Source organism: Homo sapiens, chromosome 20, assembly GCF_000001405.40.
Source record: "Homo sapiens chromosome 20, GRCh38.p14 Primary Assembly".
NCBI classification, from domain to species: domain Eukaryota; kingdom Metazoa; phylum Chordata; class Mammalia; order Primates; family Hominidae; genus Homo; species Homo sapiens.
The window spans coordinates 53,551,432-53,575,649 of NC_000020.11; the positions used below are offsets into that span (position 1 = coordinate 53,551,432).

The window sequence follows — 24,218 nt, forward strand, 5'->3', positions numbered from 1 at the left end:
GTGCAATGCAGCAATCTTGGCTCACTGCAACCTCCGTCTCCCGGGTTCAAGCAATTCTCCTGCCTCAGCCTCCCGAGCAGCTGGGATTACAGGCATGCACCACCACACCTGGCTAATTTTGTATTTTTAGTAGAAACCTCAGGTGATCTGCTCACCTCGGCCTCCCAAAGTGCTAGGATTACAGGCATGAGCCACTGCGCCCAGCCCATGCGCCAGCTTTATAACCTTGAACATGTTCCTTAACCACTCAAAGGCTCAGTTTCCTCACCTGAAAAAGGAAGGATATGTAGTTCCTTTTCTTTTGGTTTTGTTTAGTTTTGTTTGAGACAGGGATCTCATGCCGTTGGCCAGGCTGGAATGCAGTGGTGCGATCACAGCTCACTGCAACCTTGAACTCCTGGGCTCAAGCAATCCTCCCACCTCAGCCTCCAGAGTAGCTGAGACTACAGGCACATGCCACCAGACCTGGTTAATTTTTAAACTTTTTGTAGAGATGAGGTCTCACTACGTTTTCCAGGCTGGTCTCAAACTCCTGGGCTCAAGCAGTTCTCCCGCTTCGGCCTCCCAAAGCTCTGGGATTACATATAGTTCCTTTCCATGAGTTTGTTGTGAAGATTAAACAACACATTTATCACAATTAAGATAGCATCAGGATCAGAGTGAGGGTTTTGTAGCAAAGTTTTTGTTTGGTTTTGTTTTGTTATTTGGAATCAATGGAGCAAAAGCAAACACACACACACACACACACACACACACACACAAACACACACAGAGCCTTTGAAGTGAGACACGCGTTTGAATTTTGGCTCTGCCACCTACAACCTGGACCACATTGGGTAAAGCTGTTTAGACTCTCGAATCCTCAGTTTCCCAGCTCCTTAAGTACAGGATCTCATCTGACCTTCCTCATTAATACTGAATGACTTCAATTTAAGCAACGCCTGCATATATGACTGCTCACTAAAATATTATCTGTTGAGGCTGGCGTGGTGGCTCACTCCTGTAATCCCAGCACTTTGAGAGGCCCAGGCAGGCGGATCACTTGAGGCCAGGAGTTCAAGACCAGCCTGGCCAACATGGTGAAACTCCGTCTCTACTAAAAATACAAAAATTACCCAGGCATGGTGGTGCACACTTGTAATCCCAGCTACTCAGGAGGCTGAGGCAGGAGAATTGCTTGAACCCGGGAGGCAGAGGTTGTAGTGAGCTGAGATTGCGCCACTGCACTCCAGCCTAGGCGACAGAGCGAGACTCCATCTCAAAATTAAAAAAAAAAAAAATCATTGAAATGATAAAATAGAATCTTAACTTTTCCAGTTATTTTACAGGTTATGATAATCAAACATGTGACAACATTAAGCACCCTGGTAGAGGCAAGATTTGCCAGGCGGCTCTCACATACCCCTGCCTCCCACAATACTACCCCCGCCTCCCATGATATGATGAGATGACAAGGCACTTTACCTCTGCATTATACTCCACAAAACCCGTAATCCCAGACAATCATGAGAAAACATCAGACAAACCCAGATCAGCAGACATTCTACAAAACACCGAGTCCTTCCCAACACTGTCCACGGAATGAAAAACAAGGAAAATCTAAGAAATGGTCACAGACGAGAGAAGACTACAAGAGGCATGATGACTGAATGCAAGGTAGGATCCTGGGACAGAAAAAAAATCCCACCACTAATGGGAAAACTAGGGAATTCTAAATAAAGTAACATACCAGTGTTAATTTCTTAGTGTTGACAGATGCATTGTGCTTATGTAAGATGGTAGCACTAGGGCCAGCTGGGTGCAGGGTTGGAACTTGGGTTCGAATTCAGGAACTCTCTGCAATCTCTTTACAACTGTTCTGTGAATATAAAATTATTCCAGGCTGGGCGAGGTGGCTCAAGCCTGTAATCCCAGCACTTTGGGAGGCCAAGGGCAGGAGGATCACTTAAGGTCAGGGATTCGACACAAGCCCAGCCAACATGGTGAAACCCTGTCTCTACTAAAAGTGCAAAACTTAGCCAGGTGTGGTGGCGCCTGTAGTCCCATCTACTTGGGAGGCTGAGGCATGAGAATGGCTTGAACCTGGGAGGCGGAGGTTGCAGTGAGCCAAGATCACACCACTGCACTCCAGCCTGGGTGACAGAGCAAGACTAAAACTTAAAAAAAAAAAAATCCCAAAATAAAAAAGTTTTTTTAAAAAAGTGTGTGTATAGGCTGTGTGCAGTGGCTCACGCCTATAATCCCAGCACTTTGGGAGGCTGAGGCAGGAGGATCACAAGGTCAGGAGTTCAATACCAGCCTGGCCAACATGGTGAAACCCCGTCTCTACTAAAAATACAAAAATTAGCCAGGCATGGTGGCGGGTGCCTGTAATCCCAGCTACTTGGGAAGCTGAGACAGGAGAATTGCTTGAACCCGGGAGGCAGAGGTTGCAGTGAGCCGAGATTGTGCCACTGCACTCCAGCCTAGGCGACAGACTCCATCTCGGGGTGATGGGGGCAGTGGAGGGGGGGGAGTGGGTAGTGTGTGTGTAAAAACATTTTGTGAGCTATAAAATGTAGCCGAGGTGACCTTCCTGTGGCTTCCTGGTCCTCTAATGACCTCTGGCCTGTTGCCACCTCTGCAGCCTGCCAGTCCGATTTGCCTAAAACTAATTCACTGAATAATCAAATATCAAATGATCATTTCACTGACTTTTCCAATTGTGTTTTTAACAGCTTTTTTAAAAGCAAGAATATTTTAACAGCTTTAACAGAAAAGTACAATTTTGATTGCTGATTATGAAATGCAATTGTCTGAATAGTAGCTAACCGAAGCTGATATGCTGTCTGAGAAGCTGCTGGAAGAATCCTGAACATGCTAGAAAGTTGGCAAAATTGAAATCAATACAAACTAAAACGTTCCCTTATGAAGTGTTACTTTTTCCAATCAAAATTCCAACTTTTTTTATTTTTTTCAGACGTAGTTTCGCTCTTGTTGCCCAGGCTGGAGTGCAATGGCCCAGTCTCAGCTCACTGCAACCTCCACCTCCGAGGTTGAAGCGATTCTCCTGCCTCAGCCTCCTGAGTAGCTGGGATTACAGGCACCCGCCACCATGCCTGGCTAATTTTTGTATTTTTAGTAGAGACGGGGTTTTAGCATGTTGGTCAGCCTGGTCTCGAACTCCTCACCTCAGGCAATCCGCCTGCCTCGAACACCCAAAGTGCTGGGATTACAGGCATGAGCCACTGCGCCCAGCCTCCAACATTCTTTATACAGTAGGGTAGGTTTAGCTATTCATGTTCTTCAAAAGCTCTTTTTTTTTTTTTTTTTTTTTTTTGACAGAGTCTTGCTTTGTCGCCAGGCTGGAGTACAGTGGCGTGATCTCGTCTCACTGCAACCTCCGCCTCCCGGTTTCAAGTGATTCTCCTGCCTCCACCTCCTGAGTAGCTGGGACTACAGGCACCTGCCACTATACCCAGCTAATTTTTGTATTTTTAGTAGAGACAGGGTTTCACCATGTTGGCCACGATGGTCTCGATCTCTTGACCTCGTGATCTGCCCGCCTTAGCCTCCCAAAGTGCTGGGATTACAGGCGTGAGCCACCACACCCAGCCTTCAAATGTTTTTGAATAACGTGTTCTATTTTATTTATTAGGCAAATTTTAGTTCATTTTTGTCAATTTCACCAATGGCCTATCAGCCTTGTTTTTGTTTTTCTAAAAATGAATATTTTAATTAAGTTTAATTTACATAATTTTATTTACTACGCTATTTCTCCAGCTCCTACGATGTACTGGGCAGAATGTCATGTGCTTGGCAGAGAGTTATGAACTATGAACCAAACCGAAGTCATCCTTGACCTCCAGGAGTTTGTGGTGTGCCAAGGGCTGAGGGCAAATAAACTGATGCTCACAGCCCTGCAAGTAACAGGAAAGTGGGAGTGCTTCGGGATCAGGCAGGAGAGGAGGCCCTACATGTGGGGGCAGCCACAGCTAAGAAAGAACAGCCAGCTGAGATCTGAAAAATGAATAGAAGTTTTTTTTGTTGTTTTTTTTTTTTTTGAGATGGAGTCTCATTTTGTCGGGCATCACTTGAGGTCAGGAGTCTGAAACCAGCCTGGCCAACATGGTGAAACCCCATCTCTACTAAAAATACAAAAATTAGCCAGGCGTGGTGGCACATGCCTGTGATCTCAGCTGCTCGGGAAGCTGAGACAGGAGAATCTCTTGAACCCGGGAGGCGGAGGTTGCAGTGAGCCAAGATCACGCCACTGCACTCCAGCCTGGGTGACAGAATGAAACTCAGTCTCAAAAAAAAAAAAAGAAAACTCAAAGCCCATCATTGTTTGAACCCACAAGATGCAAGTCTAATTTCAACAAGGAGGGGACCAGGCCACCCTGAAATAAGATTTTTAGAGCCTTTCTAATGTGGAATTCACATTATTGCAAATTTGGTACATACTGTGGAACTCTAACAAGCCTCTAATTCACAACTTCAGATTTGCACAATTCAGATTTGCAGAAAATAAGACCTCACTGTGTCAGCTAAAGTCCAAACAGACCAAATGCTACTTCTCAAGGTCTTTCAGCTTCTCAACTCCAGGTGTCTTTTGTATCGTAGATGAAAGGAGGCCATTGGGCTGGTTACGACTTATGACTACTTGCTTTATATTAAGGATCAGCAAAAATCAGTAAGAGTCACTAGAGGGTTTCACTCTTTTTTTTTTTTTTGAGACAGAGGTTCACTCTTGTTGCCCAGGCTGGAGTGCAATGGCATGATCTCAGCTCACTGTAGCCTCTGCCTCCCGGGTTTAAGAAATTCTCCTGCCTCAGCCTCCAGAGTGGCTGGGATTACAGGCGCCCACCACCACACTCGGCTAATTTTTGTATTTTTAGTAGAGACGGGTTTTCACCATGTTGGTCAGGCTGGTCTCAAACTCCTGACCTCAGGTTATCTGCCCACCTCGGTCTCCCAAAGTGCTGGGATTCCAGGTATGAGCCCCCGCGCCCAGCCAGGGTTTCACTTTTCAACGTGTGCTGCACTCACCTGATCACCTTCAACTCTAACTGATAGTATCAAGGACAAATCAATAAAAGTTCAACCAAAAGGTTGTCTGGCCATTGATTTTTAATGTTGCATGTTCACTTCCGGTCAATGAAATGGTAGATCTTGTCATTCTGCGACTTTGCACTCTTCATTGTCTTTTTTTTTTTTTTTTAAACAGGGTCTCACTCTGCTGTCCAAGCTGGAGTGTGGTGGTGCCATCATGACTCACTGCAGCCTTGGCCTCCCAGGCTCAAGCGATCCTCCTGCCTCGGCCTCCAGAGTCTCTGGGACTACAGGCATGTGCCAGCACCCCTGGCTAACTTTTTTGGTATTTTTTGTAGACACAGGGTCTCACTATGTTGCTTAGGCTGCTCTCAAACTTGTGGGCTCAAGCAATCCTCCCACTTCAGCCTCCCAAAGTGCTGAGATTACAGGCATGAGCCATCATGCCTGGCCTCTTCAGTGTCTTTTTATTGACCACAAGATAATGCCCACATTTTCTTAACCAGCTCACCACCACCTCCTCAGCCTCTTCGTACCCTTTCCTGGCAGAAAACTCCTTACTCAAGGGCATCCCCCTCCTGATGATCCCCGAAATGTGCCTTGTTGCCTTTAACCTCCTCCCAAGAGGGAAGTTCAGAGGCAACAGCCGGTGCAAACCCTCCCAGATCCTTGTGCAAGCCTCAGATTAGACAGCTCTTCTTCTAGGAAGCCCTCCCAACCCTCCTCCTGGGGGTCGGGGGCACTGACAGATGAAGCCTTCCAGAAATGGCAATCAAGTTCAATGAGGTGGGAGGAGCAGCTCCGGTCAACCCCGTCGGTGTCTCCGCATGAATATTCAGCCTCATTTGGAATTAACATCAATGATGCAATGGCCCTCGGGTCAGACACCATGAAGGAAAACACAGCTGTGCTAAGTCCAGTCACTTAAACCCTCTGCTAAACCTCCCCACAGCTTCCCATCACACCTAGAGCAAAAGCTAAAAATTGGGCTGGGTATGGTGGCTTACGCCTATAATCTCAGCATTTTGGCAGGCCAAGGTGGGCAGATCACCTGAAGTCAGTAGTTCAAGACCACCTGGCCAACATGGTGAAACCTCATTTCTACTAAAAATTACAAAAATTAGCTGAGCATGGTGGCACATGCTTGTAGTCCCAGCTACTTGGGAGGCTGAGGTGAGAGAATCTCTTGAACCCGGGAGTTAGAGGTTGCAGTGAGCTGAGATCGCGCCATTGCACTCCAGCCTAGGCGACAAGAGAAACATTCCGTCTCAAAAATAAAATAAAATAGGCCGGGTGTAGTGGCTCACGCCTGCAATCCCAGCACTTTGGGAGGCCGAGGCGGGTGGGTCATGAGGTCAGGAGTTCAAGAACAGCCTGGCCAAGATGGTGAAACCACGTCTCTACTAAAAATACAAAAAACTTAGCTGGGCATGGTGGTGGGCGCCTGTAATCCCAGCCACTCGGGAGGCTGAGGCAGAGAATTGCTTGAACCCGGGAGGTGGAGGCTGCAGTGAGCCGAGACAGCACCACCGCACTCCAGCCTGGGCGACGGAGCAAGATTCATCTCAAAAAATAAAAATAAAAAATAAAATAAAATAAAATAAAATAAAATAAAATAAAAATTGGGCTGGGTGTGGTGGCTCACGCTTGTAATCTAAACACTTTGGGAGGCCAAGGTGGGCAAATCACCAGATGTCAGTTCGAGACCACCTGGTCAACATGGCAAAACCCCATTTCTACTAAAAATTACAAAAATTAGCTGGGCCTGGTGGTGCATGCCTATAGTCCCAGCTTCTTGGGAGGCTGAGACCAGAGAATCACTTGAACCCGGGCGGCAGGGTAGGCAGCAGAGGTTGCAGTGAGCTGAGATCACGCCACTGTACTCCAGCCTGGGTGACAGAGCAACACTCTGTCTCAAAAAAAAAAAACAAAAAACAAAAAAAGGAGGTGTATTGTGAGTCATAACCTCAATTTGTTCATACTTTACTCTGCTATTTTTTCCTTTTTTAAAATTGAAGTATAATACAGCCAGGATTGGTGGCTCATGCCTATAATCCCAGTACTGTGGGAGGCTGAGGCAGGAGGATTGCTTGAGGCTAGAAGTTCAAGACCAGCCTGGTCAACAGATCATCTCTACCAAAGAAAAGTTTTTAAAAGATTTTTAAAAATTAGTCAAGCATGGTGGTGCATTCCTGTAGTCTAAGCTACTCAGGAGGCTGAGGCAGGAGGATCACTTGACCTCAGGAGTTGGAGGCTACAGTGAGCTATGATCACACCACTGCACCCCAGCATCCCAGTGACAGAGTGAGACCCTCTCTGTAAAACAAACAAAAAAACTGAAGTGTATATATATATATATATATATATATATATACACACACACACATATATATACACACACATACATATATGTGTGTATATATATATACACACACATATATATGTATATATACATATATATACACACAAAAAGTGCCCAAATCATAAGTGTAGACTTCAATTTATTTTCACAACATAAACCAGCACCCAGACCATGGAACGAAAGGTCTAGAATCCCAAGCGTGTCTGTACCTGCTTGCTGTTTGCCCACCACCAGCAGCAGCGCACACGCCATCCTGACTTCCAGCAGCATAGGCTAGTGCTACCCATTTTTGTCATTTGCATGAGTGGAGTCATACGGAACACAGTCTTTTGTGTCTGGCGTCTTTTGCTCTGCATTATGTTTGCGAAGTTTCTCCATGTTGCTCTATGATTGTAGATCATCCGTTCTTGTCACTGTATACTGACCACTGCAAGGAGATGCCACAGCTTACTCATCCATTCCATTCTTGGCAGGCTTTTGCACCTTTGCTATTTTACTTTGTTTGTTTGTTTGTTTTTTAGAGATGAGGTCTCGCTATGTTGCCCAAGCTGTTCTTGAATTCCTGGGCTCAAGCGATCCTCCCACCTTGGCTTCCCAAAGTGCTGGGTTTACAGGCAAGAGCCACCGTGGCCAGTTTATGCTATTTTAAAGTACCAAACTATTGGTATTATTGTTCATGTACTACCATTATTTCTCTACTTAAGAAAATCTGTAACCAGAATAATTGATATCACATGGCACACCCAAGGAGGTATTTGTGGCATTAAAGTTGCATCTGGGCTGGGCACAGTTGCTCATGCCTGTAATCCCAGCATTTGGGAGGTCAAGGTGGGCGGCTCACTTGAGGCCAGGAGTTCGAGACCAGCCTGGCCATCATGGCGAAACCCCATCTCTACTAAAAATACAAAAATTAGCCAGGTGTGGTGGCACACACCTGTAGTCCCAGCTACTCGGGAGGCTGAGGCATGAGAATCAATTGAACTTGGGAGGCAGAGGTTGCAGTGAGCTGAGATTGTGCCACCGCACTCCAGCCTGGAAGACAAAGTGAGACTCTGTCTCAAAACAAAACGAAACAAAAAACAAAACAAATAAAGTTGCATCTGAATAGAAGTTCAAGAAGCCTTGTGATCTCTGTCATCCTGAGTTTCATTCCCATTTGGGGCGAATGGTGAGTTGGATCATTTTCCTTGCTAGTCGTCTTTAGGTCCCACAAACCACACTAAGCCTGGTCCATTTCCAGAAGTTTTTTTGTTTTGTTTTGTTTTTTTGAGACGAAGTTTCTCTCTTGTTGCCCAGCCTGGAATGCAATGGCACAATCTCAGCTCACCACAACCTCCGCCTCCTGGGTTCAAGTGACTCTCCTGCCTCAGCCTCCCGAGTAGCTGGGATTACAGGCATGTGCCACCACACCCAGCTAATTTTGTATGTTTAGTAGAGATGGGGTTTCTCCATGCTGGTCAGGCTGATCTCGAACTCCTGACCTCAGGTGATCCGCCTGCCTCGGCCTCCCAAAGTGCTGGGATTACAGACATGAGCCACTGCATCCGGCCCAGAAGTTCTTGATGGATCCATCTGCAAATGAGGGATAGAGGGAAGAGAAGTGGGGAGAGAAGAAGGCAGGAGGAAGGGGTGAGAGAACCAGGAGAGGGGAGCGCGGCTCCAGGCTCAACCCCACCCCGCCTGGAGCTTGAGCAACTCCTTCCCTTCCTTCAGGACTGGCTTTCTCCCTTTTCCCTCCAGGGCCAAATCCTGTCTCTTAGGACTTGACTCCTCCTTCCCAGGGTCATTTACTTTCCCCTGGGCTTTCTTGCCTTACATCCTCCCTAGAAAATACAAGCCCTGCCCCTGGAGCTCTCAGAGCCCAGCACCTGGGGCAAAGTGGAGAACACAATGGCAGTGAGAGTTCCTTTTTTTCTTCTTCTTTTAATTAAATTGGGTTTTTGGGGCCAGGAGTGGTGGCTCACACCTGTAATCCCAGCACTTTGGGAGGCTGAGGCGGGCAGATCACTTAAAGTCAGGAGTTGGAGACCAGCCTGGCCAAGACGATGAAACCCTGTCTCTACTAAAAATACAAAAATTAGCCAGGCGTGGTGGTGCATGCCTATAATACCAGCTACTCAGGAGGCTGAGGCAGGAGAATCGATTGAACCCTGGGAGGCAGAGGTTGCAGTGAGCCGAGGTCATTCCACTGCACTCCAGCCTGGGTGACAGAGCAGAGCAAGACTGTCAAAAACAAGGAAGGAAGGAAGAAGGGAGGGGAAGGAAAGAAGGAAGGAAAGAAAGAAAGGGAGGGAGGGAGGAAGGAAGGAAGAAAGAAAGAAAAAAAAACTGGGCCTTTGGCATCACTGGAAATAAATATCCATATAACAGCGGTGTCATTTTGCTCTGCTGTTACAATCACTAAGCACAAGGACTACACTAGGTAATGAACATACAAGCTAGCTCAAGGAACTTTAAATTTTTTTGAATTATAAAAAATTTAAAGTTTATTAAAAGCGTTACTAATAGAGTTTCATCTTTTCTGCCGCATTTGAAATAACACAAATGTTCCCCACAGCATTTGAAATAACACAAATGTTCCATCTTTGAAAAGTTGCTCAACTATCAAAGTTGAATTTCAAAGCTGGTAGAACAAGGAACTGGCAAACTTTGTTAACACCCGTGCCACCTGGAGGTGACACTTTATGGCACTAAGTAAAATGCCCCATCATTGGTCAGTTAGTTCCATTGAGAAAAATAGCCTTGAATAGTTCAGATATTCAGTTATTGATGGTCTTCAAGAACGCACTTCTCCCCTACAATTTGGCAGAAGTGTGTTGTGCTCATTGCCTTCTTCATAACTAGAGACTGGTTTGGTTCCCAATGCAACCAAATCCTCGTTATTGCTTCAGCTAAATTCACACACATAACCATTTTGCAAAACTCACCCAGCCTGGGCAACATAGCAAGACCCTACCTCTACAAAAAAAAAAAAAAAAAAAAAAACGCACAGAAATTAGGCCGGGTGAAGTGGCTCACAGTTGTAATCCCAGCACTTTGGGAGGCCAAGGCAACAGATCACTTGAGGTCAGGAGTTCGAGACCAGCCTAGCCAACATGGCAAAACCCTTTCTCTACTAAAAATATAAAAATCAGTTGGGTGTGGTGGCATGTACCTGTAATCCCAGCTACTCGGGAAGCTGAGGTGAACCAGGGAGGCAGAGGTTGCAATCAGCCAAGATCACACCACTGCACTCTGCACCTAGGTGACAGAGTGAATTCTGTCTCAAAAAAAAAAAAAAAAAAAGATTAGCCAGGCATGGTGGCAAGCACCTGTAGTTCCAGCTGCTGGACAGGCAGAGGTGGGAGAATCCCTTAAACCCAGGTCAAGCCATGATCGCACCACTGTACTCCAGCCTGGGAGACAGAGTGAGACTCTGTCTCAAAAAAAAAAACAAGTTATTATTATTTTTCCATTGAGTTGGTCTTGTTCTGCTGCCCAGACTGGATAGAGTGCAGTGGTACAATCATAGCTCACTGCAGCCTCAACCTCCTGGGCTCAAGTGATCCTCCCACCTCAACCTCCTGAGTAGCTGGGACTACAGGTTTGCAACACCATGCCCAGCTAATTTTGTTATTTTATTTTATTTTATGTATAGACAGAGGTCTCACTCTGTTGCCCAGGCTGGTCTCGAGCTCCTGGCCTCAAGCAATCCTCCCATCTCGGCCTTCCAAAGTGCTGGGACTACAGGCATGCACCACCATGGCCGGCTAATTTTTGTATTTTTTGTAGAGATGAGGTCTCTCCATGTTCCCCAGGCTGGTCTCAAACTCCTGGGCTCAAGCGATCCACCCTCCGCGGCCTGCAGAAGTGCCGGGATTACAGGCAAGAGCCACCATCCCTGACTAAAAGATTTTCTTTTCTTTTTTTTTTTTTTTTGAGAAGGAGTCTCACTCTTTCGCTGAGGCTGGCTTGCAATGGCACGACCTCAGCTCACTACAACCTCTGCCTTCTGAGTTCAAGCGATTCTCCTGCCTCAGCCTCCCAAGTAGCTGGGATTACAGGTGAGTACCACACCTCGCTAATTTTTGTATTTTTAGTAGAGACGGGGTTTCACCATGTTGGCCAGGCTGGTCTCCCGACCTCAGATGATCTGCCCACCTTGGCCTCCCAAAGAGCTGGAATTACAGGGGTGAGCCACTGCGCCCGGCCAAATTTTCTTTATATTAACATGTAGTGGGATTATTGTTGTTCTTGAATTTGTAAATTATTTAATAGTTTTCCATATCTATTAAGGTAAATATCAATAGCTGTAACCTATTCTTTTTTTTTTTTTTTTTTTTTTTTTTGAGACGGAGTCTCGCTCTGTCGCCCAGGCTGGAGTGCAGTGGTGCGATGTCAGCTCACTGCAAGCTCCGTCTCCCAGGTTCATGCCATTCTCCTGCCTCAGCCTCCCGAGTAGCTGGGACTACAGGCACCAGCCACCACGCCCGGCTAATTTTCTGGTATTTTTAGTAGAGACGGGGTTTCACCGCGTTAGCCAGGATGGTCTCAATCTCCTGACCTCGTGATCCACCCGCCTCGGCCTCCCAAAGTGCTGGGATTACAGGCGTGAACCACCGTGCCCGGCCAAGATTCTTTATAAAGCATTAATTACATGGCCACCTCCTTTCATCCTCTAGGACCTGTTAGGTCCTGTCCTGACCACCCAGCTCTCGTGGGTTCTCCTAATTATTCTCAGTCTCCTGCTGATTTCCTCCCCAGCCACTACAGCAGGGCCATAACTGGTCTGTTGACCTTTTCTCCCCTCCCCTCCCCTCCCCTCCCCTCCCCTCCCCTCCCTTCCCCTCCCTTCCCTTCCCTTCCCCTCCCCTTCCCCAGCCCTTTTCTTTCCGAGACACAGTCTTGCTGTGTCACCCAGGCTGGAGTGCAGTGGCACGATCTTGGCTCACTGCAACCTCCTCCCACCAGGTTCAAGCAATTCTTGTGTCTCAGCCTTCCAAGTAGCTGGGATTACAGGCGCACACCACAAAACCCGGCAAATTCTTGTAGTTTTAGTAGAGACGGGGTTTTGCCATGTTGGCCAGGCTGGTTTGGAACTTCTGACCTCAAGTGATCCACCAGCCTGGGGCTCCCAAAGTGCTAGACTTACAGGCATGAGCCACCGCGCCCAGCCATGATGACCTATTTTCAATGTCTTCCACCACCAGCAACCCCACAAAGACAGCCCCAAGAGGGTAGGAAATGCTACCTGGTTCATGAGACACATGTCCCTGGCACCCAGCCAGTACTAGCCCTAAGCGCCTGGCACTTAGTGAAAGCTCAATAAAGATATACTGAAGAAATAAAAGCAGGTAGAGAAAAGACCACCAACTTCAACCTCTCCAAAGTAGATTTCTTCGAGTCATTTGATGTTCAGCAGAAAACCGTGTTCTTTTAAAAAAAAATTTTTTTTCAGCGTTTTTTTCGTGTGTGTGTGTGTGTGTGTGTGTGTGTGTGTGTGTGTGTGCTGTTTCATTCTCCAGGAAAACAATGAAACAGTGCTAAAATCAGCCTGTGCTAGTGTGGACTGTAAACTCCTTTTTAAATAAGAAAGGGAGATATAAATAGACCTGCAAATATGCCTGTATTTTCAAAAAGAATTAATGAAAAGATAAATCAAAAATTAATTTTTAGGCTGGGCGCAGTGGCTCACACCTGTAATCCTAGCACTTTGGGAGGCTGAGACAGATGGATCACCTAAGCTCAGGAATTCAAGACCAGCCTGACCAATATGGTGAAACCCCATCTCTACTAAAAATACAAAAATTAGCCGGGCTTGGTGGCATGCGCCTGCAGTCCCAGCTACTCGGAAGGCTGAGGCAGAGAATTGCTTGAACCCGGGAGGTGGAGGTTGCAGTAAGCCAAGATCGTGCCACTGCACTCCAGCCCGGGCTACAGAGCGAGACTCATTCTTAGAAAAAAATAATAATTTTTAAAAATGGTTACTTTAGGCTGGGCGCGGTGGCTCACGCCTGTAATCCCAGCACTTTGGGAGGCCAAGGCAGGTGGATCATGAGGTCAGGAGATCTAGACCATCCTGGCTAATACAGTGAAATCCCATCTCTACTAAAAATACAAAAAAAATTAGCCGGATGTGGTGGCAGGCACCTGTAGTTCCACCTACTCAGGAGGCTGAGGCAGGAGAATGGTGTGAACCCGGAAGGTAGAGCTTGCAGTGTGCTGAGATGGCGCAACTGCACTCCAGCCTGGGAGACTGAGCGAGACTCCAACTCAAAAGAGAAATCTGAAAGGTTCATTGGGCAGTGATAAGAGCAATAACATTGGCATTGTTTCTGTTATATACAGTAGGTTAAAGCCAGGAACCCAGCTTTTCAGAAAATCAAAAACAAAATCAAAGAAAACTCTAAAACGTGAGTTGGAAATAGCAGTATAATTCACTGAGGTTTCCTTTTTGATAATATTTATTTCCTTTCCCTACATTAAAAAGGCCAGGAGCACAACCACCCAGGTAGGACTAAATGCCCCTTGCGCCCAAACTGCCCTAATTACCGCTTCCCATAAAAGGAACCCAGGATCCTTGGATAAATGACGGTTCCCAGGTGTGGGTCAGTACAGGTGGGATTTGGATCATCTCCGGTTTTGTTTTGGGGTTTGTTTTTAGAGACTGAGTCTCGCTCTGTCGCTCAGGCCGGAGTACAGTGGTGCGATCTCGGCTCACTCCAACCTCTGCCTCCCGAGTTCAAGCAACTGTCCTGCCTCAGCCTCCCTAGTAGCTGGGATTACAGGCACCTGCCACCACACCTGGTTAATTTTTGTATTTTAGTAGAGACGGGGTTTCACAGTTAATTTTTGTATTTTACTAGAGATGGGGTTTTACCATGTTGGCCAGGCTGTTCTGGAACACCTGACCTCAGGTGATCCGCCCGCCTCAGCCTCCCAAAGTGCTGGGATTACAGACGTGAGCCACCATGCCCAGCCAGAACATGTTTTAACAAAAAGTTAAGAAGCCTTCAGACTTTTGTCCTGCAAACACTGGGCCAACTTGGAACTCCCACTGACCAAAAACAAGAGACTTGAGGCATCAAAATGACGACCACATGCTCTCAACACATCAAGTGTATAAGACTTGTGAGCTCATACCAAAAATGTAAAAGCTTATTCCTGGGTCACCTCTGGAGAATGCTGGCACCAACTCATCCTCAAAGCTGGTAATCAAGAGGAATAAAAAACAAACAAAACGAGCATTTCTCCTTTTTTTGGTTGAAACTGTGTTTCAGGGTAACCAAATAATCATAAGGAAGCTCTTCTTAATAGAATTTCAATTAACAGATGTGGAATTTTAAGAAGTCTTTAAAAGTGACTTTTGCAACATCAATGGCAGCTAAAATCCTAAGGAAGAAGGTTGGTGGGCTGGGCATGGTAGGTCACGTCTGTAATCCCAGCACTTTGGGGGGCCGAGGCAGGCGGATCACTTGAGGTCAGGAGTTCAAGACCAGCCTGACCAACATGGTGAAACCCTGTCTCTACTAAAAATACCAAAATTAGCGAGGCATGGTGGCACACGCCTGTAATCCCAGATACTTGGGAAGCTGCGGCAGGAGAATCTCTTGAATCCAGGAGGCGGAGGTTGCAGCGAGGCGAGATTGCGCCAGTGCAGTCCAGCCTGGGCGACAGAGCAAGACCCTATCTCAAAAAAAAAAAAAAATAGAAAAAAGAAAAAGAGTGTGGGGTTTTCTTGTTTTTGTTTTTGAGATGGAGTCTCGCTCTGTTGCCCAGGCTGGAGTGCACTGGCGCAATCTCAGCTCACTGCAACCTTTGCCTCCCGGGTTCAAGTGATTTCTCATGCCTTAGCCTCTTGAGTAGCTGGGGCCACAGGTGTGCACCACCACACTCAGCTAATTTTTGTATTTTTAGTAAAGACGGGGTTTCGCCATGTTGGCCAGGCTGGTCTCAAACTCTTGGTTTCAAGTGATCCACCCGCCTTGGCCTTCCAAAGGGCTGGGATTACAGGCGTGAGCCACGTGCTGGCCTTAAAATTGTGTTTATAAGCCAGGCATGATGGCTCGATACTCGGGAGGCCGAGAGCTGGAGGATCAGTTGAGCCCAGGGGTTCAAGGCTGCAGTGAGCTGTGATTGCACCACTGCACTCCAGCCTGAGTGACAGAGCAGGAGCACATCTCAAAAAAAAAAAAAAGAAAGAAAACTAAAAAGTTAAATAAAACAAAATCAGAAACCAGAAACACAATAAACACTAAAACTCAAGATTGCAAAACACCAAATCTATATTTACACTTCCACATATAATAACATAACTTTAAGCTGAAATATATCATAAATAAAACAAGTAATGTCTACTGTTCGACAACTTAAGTATCAACAATTAAAATAAATCAAACTGGAATGAAATAAATACATAAACAAAAATCCAACGAATTGTACCTCTATTATATGTACTGTTGTCTCAAAGAAAAAAAAATATAAAACCAGTAGTATACCAATAGTTAATACTGATGGACACAAAAACATATTTTGAAGTACAAAGGGCTGTAGGAAAATAATTGGTATTTTTATACATTCAGAAATGTGGTTAAAAAGAGAAATCTGAAAGCCCAAAAAATTCCAGCATAATACAAATCGACTTGTTTTCAAATAGATTTGGTGATTCTTTTTTTTAAATACAGGTTTAAATTCCAGCCCTCTATTATCACATACCCCCTTTAAGATTTATGGTTCTAGTCACAGCAAGCTCTCTGTAACACTCATTGGATTAGGCAAAGATTGAGTCAATCATCTTGCAAATGTGTTAATCTTCAAAAATAGGCTATAAAAGTGCAAAACTATGAAAACAAAATCTAGATTATGTACATATGGCTCAGCTTGTGAACAGGAAAAAAGGTCAATAGTGTACACTTTCCTGATACAAAGCACTTCATTGCAATGCCAACAGACTGATCTCAAATGAGTTCTCCCTTGTAACACAGGAGCTAAGACTTCTATCAAGGAGGACATCTTACGTTGCATAATTTAAAAAAAAAAAATTTTTTCTAGGATTACCCTTGCTCTATGGAGAACAGCGAGGCCAGAAAAATGAACAGTGCAAATTTATTTTTGAAACAGTTTCTTAATAAAATATTTTGTGGTCACTAAGCCCATGTACTAATAAACTCAGCCATGGACAGCATATTAAAGAACAAAAGTTTAAAATATCTAGGAAGCCAGCTGGTGGCCATCTTCTCTAAAACCCAAATTGCATGTGCACTGAGAAAAATGTTACTGCTTCAAAACAACCAAAAATGGGAAAATAACTGAGGTCTAGAAACAGATTTTCTCTTTCTAGACTCCCAGCGGGCTCGGCCAGCAGTTCCTTATTCAAAATCAATGTGTCTATAATCAACTCTAGTATGTCCACAGTTCACCCAAATGCCAGATACATTAAGACTACCAAATACAAACCTAAAATGTTCCCCCCAAAATTTCCCTTAAAACTGTTCCCCAATACCTGCAATTCACAGATATAATTTAGCATTTTTGTTTTTATATACTAATTTAGGCAAAACCCCCCCGCCACTGAATCGTCCAACAAAAATGATTAATTTGACAGAAACAAATTTAAATAACTGCACATACAGTTTATGTTTATACAACGTGTGGCTGCTCTACAGAGAAAATGCTTGTCTGTAGACACACTCTCTTAAAAATCCTACAAGCCATCCCAACGCCCTCAGTCAAGGATCCTGGAGGTTCCAGGACAATCTGGAGAGGCGAGGAAGAAGGTGCCTTCCCCATCTGAGATGCTCAAAGTTGCGATAAAATGCTGCCAGCTTCCGAATGGCTGACCTCGATATCTGCAGCACATATCATAGAGGGTCAATACTTCCATTAACAATTTTAAGACAACAATAGATTTGGGTGGATTCAACATAATACAAAATCATTGACAGTTTAAAAAAAAAAAAACATACATTTTAAATGAAAGAGCACAATAGCAGAAACTGCTCCAAGTGATGAGCTGCATTAGAGAAAAGGAATACACACAGTATTTGAACAAGCAGGTTTACAACTTAGATATTTACAGATTTTTACCTGAGGTGCAAGCATTATATACTTTTCCCCCATCCCGCCCCACCCAACCCAAATGATTTCTTTTCAGCAGCGCTCAAGTATGCAAAAATTCCACTTCTTATTTGGTCAATTCTAAGAAAAATATTATTCAGGGACAAAATAGAGATTTCCAGTCCCCATGTATGTAAGTTCCAACTGTTCCAACTAGTTTGTATTGCTATTTGGTACAAAAGTTAACAGAACAACTTTACACAACTGTAGTGTTCCTTGCAGATTCCTCATATGTTTTATGTACAGTACAATCACAGCTTATTTCAGTAGCTTTCACCATTCGCTTCTCAAAGGATGAAGTAAAATTTAATTTCATGGGGAGTAAGCACTGACATCCACCAAGACCTAAGGAAAACAACATTTTTTAAATGATTAAGATCAAAACTGAATACAGTTTAGAAAATTCTTTCTTTAAAAAAGCGTAATACATAGAACCAAACTGACCTAGAAATGCAATGGGTTCTATTTGTTGTTGTTGTTTTTGAGACAGTCTCACTCTGTCGCCCAGGCTGGAGTGCAGCGGCACGATCTTGGCTCACTGCAACCTCTACCTCCCAGGTTCAAGCGATTCTCCTGCCTCAGCCTTCCAAGTAGCTGGGACTACAGGCATGCACCACCACGCCCGGCTAATTTTTTTGTATTTTTAGTAGAGAAGGGTTTCACCATGTTGGCCAGGCTGGTCTTGAACTCCTGACTTCAAGTGATCTGCCCGCCTTGGCCTCCCAAAGTGCTGCGATTACAGGCATGAGCCACTGCGCCTGGCCCTGGGTTCTATTTAAGTTCAACTTTTGCTATGAAAGTATTAGGAGAATGACTAACTAGATAATGCTGCGAACTTTGGAGCTACTTTTAGTAATTTAACTGAGATGACTTAACCAAGAATCAGAATTCAGTAAAAGGCAGTTGCCATGCACAAGAAAATCCCAGCTACTCAGGAGGCTGTGGTGGGAGGACTGCTTGAGCCCAGGAGTTTGAGGCTGCAGTGAGCCAAGATCGTGCCACTGCACTCCAGACCCTGTCTCAGACAAACAAAACCAATATGTGAGCTGGTCCAGAGGATGAGAAAGAAGAGGCTGGAAAGCAAAGACAGAGCAGGCAGGATGTTCTCCAGATGAAGGAAACACAAGCAGAGAAGCTCAGAGCTCCCAGAGAGACACCAGCTCCAGATACAGGAGCATGGCTGTTTGCTACTACTGATCAGTTGTAATGGATGCTTCGAGTAACCTGTTACTAAAATCTGCTCCTCATAATTCATAAATTATTTTTATGTTTTAATATAGAGTGGACTGGATCTTATTCCTGTGATGACAAAGCTTTACTCCCTCATGTTCTTCATCTATTATCCTAAGCAGGAGAAAAGACTGCAGAACCACACAAGGCTCACGCTGCCCAGGGAGAACGTCATCTCAGTTCCCATATGAGTCCCGATGAAAATATGACAGAGAAATTCTGTCCTGGACCACGAGCATCTTTTCATCTTCGTATCCTAGCAGCCAGCAGGCACTTGGTGAAGAGGCTGCTCAACGAATATACAGTGACGGTTTTACGGGACAAGAGTTACCTGAGGAACAACTAAATCTGCCCGTGAGCCCCAAGCTTTCCATTTAATCTTATTGTTGAATGAGTCATAGTATAACCTGTACACAGACATCACACCTTCTGCCCAAACTAATTAACTAAATATAAACTAACAAAACCAACATGCATAATTCTGATACTACTACTTGAGCCTTACGGGACGGCGGTGCACTACAGTGAGACCTTTAACATGTGAACCACATGCTCACATACTTGCTCCTGTCCCAGTTCCCCTCCTTGGCAGATAAGTACTTATCTTGGCAGATAAGTACTTGCCAAGTCTTTGAACAAGTTCTTAAACTAGAACGTTGGGCATAGAGCCTGGATCTTTGCAGACCTAGGACAAAAACCAGGCTCCTGCCTCTCACAGGCAGAGCGGGGCTTTGAGCAAACTGCATAATCCATGCCTCGGTCTCATCTGAAAAGCATGCACAGTACCTCCTAATGCTGGGTCACAAACTTTTTCTGTAAAGGGCCAGACGGTAAATAGTTTCAGCTTTGCAGGCCACGTGGTCTGTCACAACTGCCCGACATTGCTGCTGCAGCAAGGAGGTAGCCACAGACAATATGTAACAGATGGGCATGATCATGTTCCAATAAAACTTTATTGATGATGATGCATGAAAAGCTAGTTTGCTCATCCCTTACCTAAGCCCTCTGCTGCAACAGAATTAAATGAGATCCTGATAATAAAACACTTCATTCAATGCCTAGCACAAAGTAAATGCTCAGTAAATTCCAGTCACTATGACTGTTTTCCTATTATCTTCAGTAATATCCAAAGATCCTGAGGACTCTAATTTTAAAACACCTAAAAAATCAAAATCCAACTTAAAAGCAATTTTGTTACATTATATTAGACAACTTAATGGTTTATTTCCGATCAAGTAAAATCAATCCCCGCCCCCGCCCCCCCTTTTTTTTAGACTGAGTCTCGCTCTGTCACCCAGGCTAGACCTGCAGTGGCACAATCTGCTCACTGCAACCTCCGCCTCCTGGGTTGTTCAAGTGATTTTCCTGCTTCAGCCTCCTAAGTAGCTGGGACTACAGGCACCCGCCACCACGCCCAGCTAAATTTGTGTATTTTTAGTACAGACAGGGGTTTCACCATGTTGGCCAAGCTGGTCTCAAATGCTCGATCTCAGGTGATCCGCCCGCCCTGACCTCCCAAATGGCCACCGCACTCAGCCAATCCAGTGTTTTTAATTGAAACATATGCTCACCTTTTTTCCCCCTAATTAGTGAATCAAGTTTTTTTGTCATTTGGTCGATAATGTGCATTCCCAATAAAATTCTCATAGTTTCTCTTTTGTGCCATGCTGTTAGATAAGTGTTGATATGACACAGGCCTTTTTCCTGATTGAAAAAAAAAACATATTTAGAGTTAAGGTCAAACAATTAGGTAAGATGTGTATAGGTTTTTAGAAGTCAATTTTCAAAATTTCTGACACTGATAATGTAATCAACGCCTAAGTCACACAGTCGCATGCAAGTGTTTTCAGTTACAGCTGAATTGTTTTTATGACACTTGTTAGCACAGAATTTGGTTGATGTCACTAACATTAAAATTGTCTGGGCTGTCACTAGAAAGAATTAAAAAGCCGGAAAAAAATGACATCACAAAATACTTGAAACGTATATGCATCATGAACCAAACTATGTAAAAGTGTTGTTTTTTGCTTTTTTTAAAATCATTTAAAAGGGGATTTGCCAGCATAGGCAACATGGTGAGACCTCTTCTCTACTAAAAATAAAAAATTAGCTGGGTATGGTGACATGCACCTTTAGTCCCAGCTACTCGGGAGGCTGAGACGGAAGGATGGAAGGATTGCTTGAGTCCCGGAGGTCGAGGCTGCAGTGAGCCGTGATTGCCCCCACTGCACTCCAGCCTGGGCAACAGAGTGTGACCCTGTCTCACAGAGGAGGGGAAAAAAAAAAGAGGATCTGACTTGCAACACACAGAGCCTTTTCCCCCTTTAAGTAAAGACAAAGTTTTGATTCATGTCCATTTTAAGCACCATGGGGGGGGAAATGAAGATTTTTAACCAAAAGGCAGTAAAAATTACTATTTCATCACAATTTTTATAAAATCTACTGGAGTGTCTGAAAGCAATTGTTTTTTAATTTGCTATCTCTACTGAACCAATCAGCATCAAGCAATTCTTGACAGAGTGTTGTCACCACACAGAATCCTCAGTTTGAAACTAACACAAACTGAAATGTGCAAAACTGAATCTGTTTCTTTGGGGAGCACAAACCAGTAGAGCTTCTATGTGATAAAGGAAGATGCTGCAGTTTGACCGAGTTTGCCAAGGAGAAGATGTCCCTGGGACACTGAGCTACTTTTTTACACATACAGGTATGTGCCAGACACCTGTACGAAGTGACACCACCAGGACACATTTCTATGGGGAAAACCCCAGTCATCTATGAGGTTAACAATCTACCTATGGGGGAAATAAGGTTGGTTTTAAATTAATACAGTTGTCCCTCAGTATCCAGAGGGCACTGGCTCCAGGACCACCCGCCCCCACCACCCCAGCCAACAGATACCAAAATCCATGGATGCTCAGGTCCCTAATATAAAACAGTGTCGTATCTGCAGTATTCATAGTATCTGTAGTACTATTTTTTTTTTTTTTTGAGATGGAGTCTCGCTCTGTCGCCCAGGCTGGAGTGCAATGGCACAATCTCAGCTCACCGCAACCTCCACCTCCCAAGGTTCAAGTGATTCTCTTGCCTCAGCCTCTGGAGTAGCTGGGATTACAGGCATGCGCTACCACACCCAGCTAATTTTGTATTTTTAGCAGAGACGAGGTTTCTCCATTGTTGGTCAGGCTGTTTCCCAAAGTCCTGGGATTACAGGCGTGAGCCACCGCAACTGGCCTTGTAGTACTATTAATTTGCAGTATTGTAGCGTAACCTATTCACATCCTCCCATATACTTTACTTACTTATTATTTATTTATTTATTTGAGACAGAGTCTCACTCTTTAGCCCAGGCTGGAGTGCAACAGTGCAATCTAGACTTACTCACTGCAATCTGCGCATCCCCGGTTCAAGCGATTCTCATGCCTAAGCCTCCCAAACAGTTCGGATTACAGGTGCAAACCAACACACCCAGCCAATTTTTGTATTTTTAGTAGAGACGGGGTTTCACCATGTTGACCAGTCTGGTCTCCAACTCCTGGCCTCAATCGAGCTGCCCGCTTCAGCCTCCCAAAGTACTGGGATTACAGATGTGAGCCACCACATCCAGCACCTCCCATATACTTTAAATCATCTCTACACTGCTGGGCATGGTGGCTCATGCTTGTAATCCCAGCGCTTTGTGAGGCCAAGACAGGAGGATCACCTAAGGTCAGGAGTTCGAGACCAGCCTGACCAACATGGCGAAATGCCGTCTCTACTAAAAATACAAAAATTAGGCTGGCGTGGCGGTGGGTGCCTGCATCCAAACTACTCGGGAGGCTGAGGTAGGAGAACTGCTTGGACCTGGGAGGCAGAGATTGCAGTGAGCTGAGATCACACCATTGCACTCCAGCCTGGGCAACAGAGCAAGACTCCATCTCAAAAAAAAAAAAAATCATCTCTTCGTTATTTATAATACCTAATATGAAGTAAATGCTATGTAAATAGTTGTTATACTGTATTATCTAGGGAATTACGACAAGGAAAAGAAAACTGCAGATGTTCAGTACAGATGCGACCATCCATTTTTCCCCCAAATATTTTAGTCCCGCAGTTGGTTGAATCCACTGAGGCAGAACCCAAGGATATGGAGGGCTGACAACATTTAACAGCAAAACGGTTCACAAGACTCTTTAATCGGAAGTTCTTTTGCTTTCTGCTCTTGCCAGGTCAAGGGTCCACGTGTGGTCCTTACTGGGCGCCCCCTATTCTGCCCCGTGTGGGAAGCATGTGACTTGATGCTGTACATGTAAAACATGGTTTCTGCTCTTAAGAAGTTTACAGGCCAGCAGGGAATGGTAAAATGCGTGAGGAAGAACCCCTAGGCTGGGCGCGGTGGCTCACACCTGTAATCCCAGTACTTTGGGAGGCCGAGGCCAGTGCATCACCTGAGGTCAGGAGTTCAAGACCAGCCTGGCCAACATGCTGAAACCCTGTCTCTACTAAAAATACAAGAATTAGCCGGGCGTGGTGGCACGTGCCTATTACCCCAGCTACTCAGGAGGCTGAGGCTGGAGAATTGCTTGAACCCAGGAGAAGGAGGTTTCAGTGAGCCGAGATCGTGCCACTGCACTCAGGCTGGGCAACAAGAGCAAAACTCCGTCTCAAAAAAAAAAAAAAAAAGAAAGAAAGAAAAAAAAAACCCCCGCAACTCCAGGTGGATTGGCACTGACTACTGAGCACACCATACATGTGCAAAGGAAGAAAAAGGGCTGTGATGAAGTGAGGCAAGCTGGGGCCTCAACTGGCTGCATCTGGAATTTCAACAGCAAGACAAGAATGGACTAGACAGACCAGTGTTCTCACCCACTGTTTCCATGATCACTCTCACAACAGAAAAATAAAATTGACAAGAAAAATTACTCAAGAATAAGGCTGGGTATGGTGGCTCGCGCCTGTAATGCTGGCATTCTGGGAGGCCGAGGCAGGAGGATCACTTGAGGCCAGGGGTTTCAGACCAGCCCGGGCAACAAAGCAAATCCCTGTCTCTACAAAAAAATAAATTTAAGTTAGCCAAGCGTGGTGGAGTGCATCTGTAGTCTAAGATACTTGGGAGGTCAACGCAGGAGGATCACCTCAGGCCAGGAGTTCAAGACCAGCCTGGGCAACTCCATCTCTACAAAAAAAATTTAAAAATCAGCTGTGCATGGTAGCAGCACATATAGTCTCAGCTACCTGGGAAGCTGAGGCAGAAGGATCTCTTGAACTCAGGAATTCAAGACTACAGTAAGCTATGATTACACCGCTGCACTCCAATCTAGATGACGGAGCAAGACCCTTTCTCTAAAAATAAAGTAAGACTAAACAAATCAAAAGAATAAAATACACAGGGTTAAGAGTTAAACCCACAGAGTTAAGTAAGCCTTGGAGGACCACAAACCACTGCCGTATCTAAGAATGCTTCTCTCTGTGACCCCCAAGAACTTCTGGCTGCCTACCCCCCACCCTTGGGAGTGGTACC

General features: G+C 45.0%; 1 protein-coding gene and 1 long non-coding RNA gene across 14 annotated transcripts in view, besides 3 other annotated features; one reads left to right on the forward strand and one right to left on the reverse strand.

Moving 5' to 3' along the window:
* The first annotated feature begins 1,338 nt into the window (after window positions 1–1,338).
* Window positions 1,339–23,877, forward strand: ZNF217-AS1 (ZNF217 antisense RNA 1). Its single transcript, NR_110051.1, has 6 exons — window positions 1,339–1,656; window positions 5,207–5,324; window positions 11,318–11,436; window positions 18,841–19,072; window positions 21,217–21,425; window positions 22,927–23,877. It is a non-coding gene; the product is annotated as a ZNF217 antisense RNA 1 (long non-coding RNA).
* Window positions 5,485–5,985: an enhancer, noted in NCBI's record as "H3K27ac hESC enhancer chr20:52173455-52173955 (GRCh37/hg19 assembly coordinates)". NCBI's record gives its function as "activates a minimal SCP1, AML or CMV promoter by ChIP-STARR-seq in naive H9 embryonic stem cells {active_cell/tissue: H9 hESC(naive)}" and the evidence as "EXISTENCE:reporter gene assay evidence [ECO:0000049][PMID:30033119]".
* Window positions 7,916–8,099: a silencer, noted in NCBI's record as "fragment chr20:52175886-52176069 (GRCh37/hg19 assembly coordinates)". NCBI's record gives its function as "represses an EF-1alpha promoter that drives an FKBP-Casp9 reporter gene in an ReSE screen in K562 erythroleukemia cells {active_cell/tissue: K562}" and the evidence as "EXISTENCE:reporter gene assay evidence [ECO:0000049][PMID:32094911]".
* Window positions 15,640–24,218, reverse strand: part of ZNF217 (zinc finger protein 217) — a 30,632-nt gene continuing 22,053 nt past the window's right edge. For 9 of the 13 annotated variants that reach the window (XM_011529036.2, XM_047440462.1, XM_005260545.5 and 6 more), the window contains exon 5: window positions 15,640–17,833. In XM_011529036.2, the coding sequence (XP_011527338.1) occupies window positions 17,685–17,833 (149 nt within the window). In that variant the 3' untranslated portion in view covers window positions 15,640–17,684. Of the gene's footprint in view, window positions 17,834–20,289; window positions 20,423–24,218 lie in introns of those variants that run through there. The other 4 variants (XM_047440464.1, XM_047440463.1, XM_047440465.1 and 1 more) reach the window with 2 other exon arrangements.
* Window positions 21,723–21,873: a silencer, noted in NCBI's record as "fragment chr20:52189693-52189843 (GRCh37/hg19 assembly coordinates)". NCBI's record gives its function as "represses an EF-1alpha promoter that drives an FKBP-Casp9 reporter gene in an ReSE screen in K562 erythroleukemia cells {active_cell/tissue: K562}" and the evidence as "EXISTENCE:reporter gene assay evidence [ECO:0000049][PMID:32094911]".